The following is a 10,143-nucleotide window of genomic DNA, read 5'->3' as shown; positions in this document are numbered from 1 at the left end:
CTGTTCAACAGGAAAATATCACAATCCTAAATATATATGCACCTAATACTGGAGCTCCCAAGTTTATAAAACAATTACTACTAGATCTAACAAATGAAATAGACAGCAAAACAATAATAGTGGGGGACTTCAATACTCCACTGACGACACTAGACAGGTCATCAAGACAGAAAGTTAGCAAAGAAACAATGGATTTAAACTATACCCTAGAGCAAATGGACTTAACAGATATTTACAGAACATTCTACCCAACAACTACAGAATATACATTATAATCATCAGCATATGGAACTTTCTCTAAGATAGACCTTATGATAGGCCACAAAATGAGCCTCAGTAAATTTAAGGGAATTGAAATTATATAAAGTACTCTATCAGACCACAGTGGAATAAAACTGGAAATCCACTCCGAAAGGAACCTTCAAAACCATGAAAATACATGGAAATTAAATAACCTGCTCCTAAATGATCACTGGGTCAAGTATGAAATCAAGATGGGAATTAAAGAATTCTTCAAACTGAATGCAAATAGTGACACAACCTATCAAAACCTCTGGAATACAGCAAAGGCAGTGCTAAGAGGAAAGTTCACAGCTCTAAATGCCAACATCAAAAAATCTGAAAGAGCATAAACGGACAACCTAAGTTCACACCTCAAAGAACTGGAGAAACAAGAACAAACCAAACCCAAACCCAGCAAGAAAAAGGAAATAAACAAGATCAGTGCAGAACTAAATGAAATTGAAATAACAACGAAAAACAATACAAAAGATAAATGAAACAAAAAGCTTGTTCTTGAAACCAGCTTAATAAATAAAATAGATAAATAAAACTGATTGAACATTAGCAAAATTAACCAAGAAGACAGAAAATCCCAATAAACTCAATCAGAAATGAAATGGGAGATATTACAACTGACACCACAGAAATACAAAAGATCATTCAAGGCTACGATGAACACTTTCATGCGCATGAACTAGAAAACCTAGAGGAGGTGGATAACTCCTTGGAATGATATAACCCTCCTATCTTACAACAGGAAGAATTAGATACCCTGAACAGACCAATAACAAGCAGCGAGATTGAAATGGTAACTAAAAAAATGTTTTATATTTTAAATCCCTGTATGTACTTCTCTAATTTTTACTCCAAATATACAAGATATGTTAGTGTGTAGGAAGCAAGTGTAAGTTTGATGTTCACATAAGAAGCAGTATCCAAGGAGAGTACCATTGAATTGTGACCTTATGTGTCATTTATTGCATTAGGAGTGAGCCAATGTTTTACCCTTTGAGATGAGCAGATTGCTTGAGGGGAGTTAAAGTCCTTACATATGTCATCAGCAAACCATTTTCACGGACTGCTGGGCAGAATTTAGGCAGATCAGGGAAGTGATGACAATGGCTAGAAGAAGGGTAGAAAGGGAGAGACATAGGTGAGAATGACAGACATTCAGGAGGTGCATCAGTGGGAGCAAGATACGGCACCACAAAAAAAGACCCGGAGAATAATATACTGTAAAGCCATATTTACAATTTATGGACATGCAAATCTATTCAATATATTGTTTAAGAGTACAGAAAGTTGAAGTCAAGCTACAAAGAATAGCAATTGATAAATAAACATAAAATTCAGCATAATGGCTACCGAGGAGGTGGTTTTTTGATATAGGGGGTGGGGGCCCACAGAAGAAGGCTAAGGTAAATACTGCTCTGTTTCTTAAGACAAATGATGGCTATGCTGGGATTCTTTAATTAATTATCTTTGTGCTTCGAGTACACATTTTATGCATTTCCTCTAGTGAGTCAGATATTTTATTTTATTATACTAAAATAGGAAAAGTAACTGGGCATAGAAACCTTAAGTTATACTGATAATTTTTGAGAGCCTGGGCTACAGTACTGAGCCCTTTCCTATAAGGCTCTTTCCTGTTTTTATTAAAAAAATTAAAAAAATGTTTTTTAATAGGAAGTTCCTATAAAGAAAGAACTGCTGCCTTGATCCCCAAGTTCAGATCCCAAATTTCAGAGCCTCTTCCATCCATATCCACTTACCTAGGCTGCTCTTCCCTAAAGCCAAGCCACTCCACTCACCTGGGGGCTCCAGGCCTCCCTGTTCCTGCTCATCACAGCCTCACATCTTGGCTGTCAGTCCCTGAGCAGCCAGAAAGATCAGGAGTAGGGTGAACACAGCAGAGATGGCCAGGACAGTGGAGACTTGTTTACTGTCACCATTGGGAACCTCTGAAGGTGCTTTAAAAGGGTGGGGCCAAAAGCTGGGGGCAGAGTCAGAACAGCTGGGGCAGCAGTAAGTCTCTGACCCCTCCCCACCCAGTGATTTTGGGAAGTTTTTCTGCTTGGCTCCTCAGACCCAGCTTGCCCCTCTGTCCTGGAAATGAGCCTCAATTAATTTCTCCCAAGAAGGTGGGACATCTGGCTCCACTGGACAGATGGAGGTGAGATGGTTGAGAGGGAAGCAAGGGTGGAGGGAGTCAACGGCTGCCGCTGGGTGTGTCTCTCTGGATCAGAGACCACTTGAGAAGAAATTCCGGTGACGGAATCACAAGTGGGGTGGGGGAGCATTAGGTCACAATGGTCAGATTGTGACCCACATGGAGTGGAGCTGGGGATTGGCCAGCCAGGAAGAGGGGGTTGATAAAAGCCAGGTTACCAGGGAGTGAGCCCGGCAGAGAGGGGCTGGGCTTGAAGGGATGGGGTGAAGGGATGGTGATGATTGGGTTCTGGCTCCTGCTCCAAGGCCCTTTCATGGAGACTTATTTCCCATGGTCCTCTCCTAAGGAAAGCCTCTCCACTCTCACCTGCATCCTGCCCTGAGTCTCAGCCTCTGACTACAGTCTATAGTCTACAGCTTCCCTCTCCCCACGTCCCAACCCCAGTTTTCTTAGTTCCTGGCTGCAAGGATTTTAGATCCTCCACTCAATTTCCAAAAATTTCTCCTGGCACCAGCTTCTCTACCCAGCATTTTTAGCCTACCTGTCAATCCTCCCCTATATGTCCCATCGGTATGGAAGTCCAGATGACAGTCATTGATATGCTGCTTGCATTTTCTGAATCACTATGTCAATGAGAAATGCGCCCTATCAGAGCTAACAGAGCTTCACAGCAAGGTCATTTTGAAGATAACCTTCTTCAAAATGAAGAGTGAGGAGGACATAAGTGCTGTAGGATCAGTATGTGAGGCTACCACAAACATGCTGTGGTTTGCACATTCTTTGAGGCTTGCAGAGAGAAGCCTGAAAAACACGGCTGATGTCTTGGCAGAATTTACCCTGGCCCCCAGGCTGGTGTACAAAACATCTTCATGACAAGGTGTCTTGCTGGCCACTCTTAACCATTAGAAGAAACAGATGCCATGGAACTTTGAAAAATCAGAAAGTGAATGTACAAATGGAGAACCTTTGAAGACAGCAGAGCCCAATGTGGGTAAATGACATTGCTCGTAGGAAGGAAACAGTGTTATGGAGCAAAAGGGGCTCACTGCCTGATGCACTAGAAGGCAATACTAGGACAATGGGTTTTGAGAAAATAAAAGCCTTACACTGAAATTCAACAACCAAGAAGACAGGAGTCAAGCTCATCTGTCTCCTGTGTTGGCTCCAAGGCAGTTTTTAGAAAAGTTTTATGGGGTGGATACTGGGGTTAGCAGGTGATTGGTGGAAGGTAAGCAGAGTCTGAAAAGTCCTCAGGCATGTGCAGTTATCTCTTCATGCTACCTTATGAGTCATATGTGCAAATTTGGGAGAAGTTAGTATGAAACAAGCAGTGGAAATCCAGGCTGCAGTTTCAGCAAGCTTGTTCTAGTAGGCCATCTTGGTCCCAACCAATGTTAGGCAGTTCTTTTACCTCAAAAGCAGAGGGAGTTTCAGTGTTTCAGTGACTTGGTTTTTTTTCATCTGCCATTCTGCAAAATCAAGATTTTCTGTTAGTCATTATGAACTCTTTGGGACTGGTTTCAACAGCAGGCCCAGAAGCATCACAGACATATCTTACAGTGAAAGAGTTCTGGGCACCACTTTGGGAGGCGAAGGTGGGTGGATCATGAGGCCAGGCGTTCAAGACCAGCCTGGCCAACATGGTGAAACCCGCCTCTGCTAAAGATACAAAAAATTAGCTGGACTTGGTGGTGCGCACCTGTAATCTCAGCTACTCGGGAGGCTGAGGCAGAAGAATTGCTTGAACCCAGGAGGTGGAGGTTGAAGTGAGCCGAGATTGCGCCATTGCATGCTAGCCTGGGTGACAGGGCAAGGTCTCAAAAAAAAAAAAATAAGTTCTGGGCACGTAATTACTGCTATCATATTTCTGACATATCTGCTTTTTTTTAAAGAGAGGATATGAAGTGTTTACTAAGCAGACTAAGAAGAATATAAACAACATCTCAAGAGAAATCTAAGGAATTTTAAACAGACTACCCGATTACTAATATTTTTATAAAATCCTGAATGGTACTTAAAAATGACTATTGAAAAAAAAGAAACTTGAAATAATTAAAGTATCAGGACAAATAAAAAGTAAAAGAAAGAAACTAATAATTAGAAGGGAAATTGCACAAAACTCAGTGGTTTTACAAATTCCACATTAGAAATTCCATATTAGCACTCTTAATAAGAAAGCCTATGCAGTTTTCATTGTCGCTTGGGCTGCGGAAAGAATTCATGCACAGAGAATGAAAGTGGCCACCTGAGGAAGGTCCTTTGAAGATAAGCCATCAGTTCAGCTTTGATGGCCATCTCCAAAAACCTTCACCAAACACTTCCATAAAGAGGTTTTATTCAAGCTGGGGGCCCCTTTGGCCCTCACAAAAAAATTGAGAAAGTTTCCTGTGATCGCTCAACAATGTCCCAACTTGTGATGTGTTTCTTTTCTGGAAATGGAAGATTTGGGCTTATACCTGAGGAAGAGACTACAATGTAGTAACAGTGAATCATCAAAATGCTTGGTAAATTAATGACCTCAGAGCTGTTCCCTCTTTTGGCCACGGCTATCACCTTAAGCAGTCTGGATTCTTCCAGAGTAAGGAGTGATGTTTTTCACATTGGTGCCCTGACATTGGGTTTTCCTTACAAATGTTCAATGTGATCTCACCAACTGCAGGATGCCCACCCCTACGTAGTCCATTGAGACCCTCTCTCCTCACCTGTGGGAAGCTGAGAGCCTTCCATCCCACCTCAGAGTCCTGCTAGCCCATATCCTTAATAGTAGCATTCCTGGATTATCACATTGAAAAAGAGGACACTAGCCCCTGGCATCTGAGAACTGGGCTGTTACTGTTAGGTGTGGTGGATCTGGCCCAGTACTGACAGCTAGGTGGTAAAGTTCTCCTGTTCAACATAAAAAGACAAGAGCACTAGACAAGGCACCTCTGTGGCTTTAGTGGATGAAAAACAAAAACAAAAACCAAGACCAATCTGTAATAACGTCTGAATGCAAACAAAACATACAAACTGCTAAAACTGCAAAAAATGGCCAAACATATTCCTCTCCTGGTCAGAATATGAGTAACTGACATTTGTTTAACAATCACAGCTTTAGCCTCACCATCCCATTGCTTTTTTTGTTTAAGATTTATCAAGATAACCAATCATGGAATTATCCCCACTTCCTAATAGCATCCAATACAAAGCAAAACTTTGCTTTATGAATTATCTCTGAAAAACTTTACATAAGCCAAAATCCTATAAGTCTTTTCTAATACTTGCTTATTAATATTGCATTGTTTTCTTTAGGGTCTTTGCCTGTAAGGAATTGACAGAAATGCAGGTTCACCAGGATTCATATGAAACATTTACTGTCTTGGGCTGGAAGCCTTGACTCAGTAAGAGTGTGTACATTTGTGATCTCTTGTGTGTTTACATATTAAGGTATCAAATTGTCCTTGGCTGATTGCTAAGTTAATGTACAACTAAGCTCCAATATTTTATTTAAGCATTTCTGTGTTTTGTTTATTTTCCTAATTATGAGGTCCTCTGGTACTTTTGTTTGTCTGATCAGCTTTGTTTTTTTTCCCCTCAGTGAATTTGTTTTCTGTCCTAACACCAGCTTCTGTGGTCCTTCTGCTTGTTTAGGGTTTTGTGTGTTGCTTTTCTATTAGAAGAAATTTCTTTGGGCACAAATTTGCATAGTTTTGATTTTTAAAAAGTGAACAGAACTTTAGAAATCTGTATGACAACGCTGATAGAAACTATATATGCGTAGTGAGAGAGAAAAGAGGAGAGAAAGAAGAAAAACTATTTTCAAGAAAACAAAAACACAATCCACAGACAGGAAGAAACCATTTGCAAATCGTATATTGGATAATAGACCTGAATCCAGAATATATAAAGAACACTTAAAACTCAACAATAAGAAACCAATTCAAAAGTGTTCAAAAGTATTTTGGTAGATATTTCACCAAGGAAGATATAAGAATGGCTTATGGGCCTATGAATGATCTACATTATCATAATATTATGAGCCATTAGACAATTCAGATTGAAACCTCAGTGATATACTACTGCGTACCACTAAAATGGCTATAGTAAGACAGACAGAAGCAAGCGTTGGTGAAGATGCAGAGAAACTGGAATCCCCACACATTGCTGGTACTAGTATAAAATGGTGCAGCTGCACTGGAAATAAGTTTGGAAGTTTCTTAAAAAGTTAAACCTGCCATGCAACCCAGGAATCTGTTTAAGAAAAATGAAAACATGTTGATACAAAGTCATCTGTGAATGTTTCTAGAATTGATATTCATAATAGGTCTAACTGGAAGCAATTCAAATACCCATCAATGGTGAAATAAATGTGGTATATCCATACCATGGAATACTGTTCCATAATTAAAAGCACACTACTAACATATGTGCTAAAATATGGATGAACCTCAAAAATATGGTGCTAAATGAAATCAGCCAGAGGAAAATAGCCTATGTATTATATAATTGCATTTATATGCAATGTCTAGAAAAGGCAGGTTTACAGAGACAAAGCAGATCAGTGTGTCTAACTAAGGCTGGGGATGGAAGACAGGATTGACTGCAAATGGATGTGAAGGACCTATTTGGGGGGTTATGAAAATGTACCAAAACGGGACTGTGGTGGTGCTTGCACAACTATAAATTTACCCAAACAATTCGAATTGTACACTTGCAGAGGATATATTTTATGGTATGCAAATCATATCTAATTAAGTTGTTTAATATGAAAAGAAAGAAGCAGAAAGTTATTCTCCAGCCTGGGTGACAGAGTGAGACCCTGTCTTAAAGAAAAAGTAATTAAGTCATGTTTCTTTTAGTGGACAGTTAAAAGCATATTTACATAGTAAGCTTCTGTTTCTATAGTTATGAGCTAAGAAGTAATGGCTTTGGGTTCAACATGAGAAGAGTTTTTGATATAACTGGTTTTAAAAAATCAGTTTACAATATACACATAATGCCACGAACTATTTTTGTTTGTTCAGCAAGAGGATAAAATTTCTCATGGTTTCAATTTTATAAATTTCCTATATTAGACTTATAAACAAGCAAGTTTATAAATAAACTTATTAAAAAGTTACCACTGATTGCATAACTTGCTTAAAATACAAAGTTGTATGAATTAACTGTATTCAACTAAATGAAATGACAATAATGGATATATTTTTAATTAATTTTTTTTATTTCCACAGGTTGTTGGGGAACAGGTGGTATTGGATTACATGAGCAAGTTCTTTAATGGTGATTTGTGAGGTTTTAATGCACCCATCTCCTGAGCAGTATACACGGAACCCAATTTGTGGTCTTTTATCTTTCATCCCCTTCCCATCATTTTCTCCCGAGTTCACAAAGTCCATTGCATTATTTTTCTGCCTTTGCATCCTCATAGCTTAGCTCCCACTTATGAGTGAGGATATCTGATGTTTGGTTTTCCATTCCTGAGTTACTTCACTTAGAATAATAGTCTCCAATCTCTTCCAGGTTGCTGAAAATGCTATTAATTCATTCGTTTTTATGGCTGAGTAGTACTTCATCATATACATATATAAATACACCACAGTTTCTTTATCTGCTCATTGATTGATGGGCATTTGGGTTGGTTCCACAATTTTGCAGTTGCGAATTGTGCTGCTATAAACATGTATGTGCAAGTATCTTTTTCATATAATGACTTATTTTCTTCTGGGTAGATACCCAGTGGTGGGATAGCTGGATCGAATGGTAGTTACGATTTTAGTTGCTTAAGAAATCTCCGTACTGTTTTCCATAGTGATTGTACTAGTTTTTATTCCCACCAGCAGTATAGAAGTGTTCCCTTTTCATTGCATCCACGCCAGCATCTACTGTTTTTTGATTGTGGCCATTCTTGCAGGAGTGAAGTGGTGTCACATTGTGGGTTTGATTTGCATTTCCGAGATCATTAGTGATGTTGAGCATTTTTTTCATATGTTTGTTGGCCATTTGAATATCTTCTTTTGAGAATTATCTATCCCTATCCTTAGCCCACTTTTTGATGGGATTGTTTGTTTTTTTCTTGCCAATTTGTTTGAGTTCATTTTAGATTCTGGATATTAGTCCTTTGTCAGATGTATTGATTGTGAATATTTTTCCTACTCTGTCAGTTTTCTGTTCACTCTGCTGACTGTACCTTTGGCTGTGCAAAAGCTCTTTAGTTTAATTAAGTTCCAGCTATTTATTTTTGTTTATATTGCATTTGTTTTTGGTTCTTGGTCATGAAATCCTTGACTAAGCCAATGTCTAGAAGAGTTTTTTTGATATTGTCTGCTAGAATTATTATAGTTTCAGGTCTTAGATTTAAGTTCTTGATCCATCTTGAGTTGATTTTTGTATAAGGCAAGAGCTGATGATCCAGTTTCTTTCTCCTACGTGTGGCTTGCCAATTATCCCAGCATCATTTGTTGAATAGGATGTCCTTTCCCCACTTTATGTCTTTGTTTGCCTTGTTAAAATCAGTTGGCTGTAAGTATTTGGGTTTAATTCTGGGTTCTCTATTCTGTTCCATTGGTCTATGTGCCTAGTTTTATATCAGTACCATGGTATGTTGGTGACTATGGCCTTATAGTATAGTTTGATATCAGGTAATGTGATGCCTCCAGATTTGTTCTTTTTACTTAATCTTGCTTTGGCTATGTGAGCTCTTTATTGTTTCCATATAAAATTTAGGATAGTTTTTTCTAGTTCTGTGAGGAATGATGGTGGTATTTTGATGGGAATTGCACTGAGTTTGTAGATTGCATTGCCAGTATGGTCATTTTCTCAATATTGATTCTGCCCATACATAAGCATGGGATGTTTTTCCATTTGTTTTTGTCGTCTATGATTTCTTTCAGCAGTGTTTTGTAGTTTTTTTCTGTGGATACTTTCACCTTCTTGGTTGGGTATGTTCCTAAAGGTTTTATTGATTTATTTTTTTTACAGCTATTGTAAAAGAGGTTTAGTTCTTGATTAGATTCTCAGCTTTGTTGCTGATGGTGTATAGCAGAGCTACGGATTTGTGTACATTAATTTTGTATCCTGAAACTTTGCTAAATTCATTCATCAGTTCTAGGAAGTTTGGGGGGAGCCTTTAGGGTTTTCTAGGTATATGATCATATAATCAGCAAACAGTGAGAGTTTGACTTCCTCTTTACCCATTTAGATGTCCTTTATTTCCTTCTCTTGTCTGAGTGCTCTGGCTAGAACTTCCAGTACTACGCTGAATAGAAGTGGTGAGAATGGGCCTCCTTGTCTTGCTCCAGTTCTCAGGGGGAATGCTTTCAACTTTTCCCCATTCAATATTATGTTGATTGAGGGTTTGTTATACATGCCTTTTATTCCATTAAAGTATTCCCCTTCTATGCTGATTTTGCTGAGGGTTTTAATCATAAAGGGATGCTGTATTTTGTCAAATACATCTGTGTCTATTGAGATAATAATGTGATTTTTGTTTTTAATTCTGTTTATGTGGTGTATCTCATTTATTGGCCTGTGTGTGTTGAACCATCCCTGCATCCCTGGTATGAAACCCAGTTAATCATGGTAGATTATCTTTTTGATATGTTGTTGTATGGGTTAGCTAGTATTTTGTTAAGGATTTTTGCATCTATGTTAATCAGGGATATTAGTCTGTAGTGTTTTTTTTTTTTTAATCATGTTCCTTTAGTGTAACGTAT

At 38.5% G+C, this 10,143-nt stretch overlaps 2 long non-coding RNA genes across 2 annotated transcripts in view; one reads left to right on the top strand and one right to left on the bottom strand.

The window, feature by feature from the left end:
- Positions 1-335: 335 nt before the first annotated feature.
- LINC01722 (long intergenic non-protein coding RNA 1722) overlaps positions 336-10,143 on the top strand; it is an 87,316-nt gene continuing 77,508 nt past the window's right edge. Inside the window, exons 1-3 of the long non-coding RNA NR_109868.1 lie at positions 336-1,090; positions 2,369-2,455; positions 7,663-7,711. This is a non-coding gene — a long non-coding RNA (long intergenic non-protein coding RNA 1722). The remainder of the gene's footprint in view (positions 1,091-2,368; positions 2,456-7,662; positions 7,712-10,143) is intronic.
- LINC01723 (long intergenic non-protein coding RNA 1723) lies at positions 1,228-2,515 on the bottom strand. Its single transcript, NR_109870.1, has 2 exons — positions 2,094-2,515; positions 1,228-1,404 (listed from the first exon to the last, which is right to left on the bottom strand). It is a non-coding gene; the product is annotated as a long intergenic non-protein coding RNA 1723 (long non-coding RNA).

Source organism: Homo sapiens, chromosome 20, assembly GCF_000001405.40.
Source record: "Homo sapiens chromosome 20, GRCh38.p14 Primary Assembly".
Lineage (NCBI taxonomy): Eukaryota > Metazoa > Chordata > Mammalia > Primates > Hominidae > Homo > Homo sapiens.
Note: the sequence above shows the minus strand (reverse complement) of the source record. Positions and strands in the feature narration are given on the sequence as shown.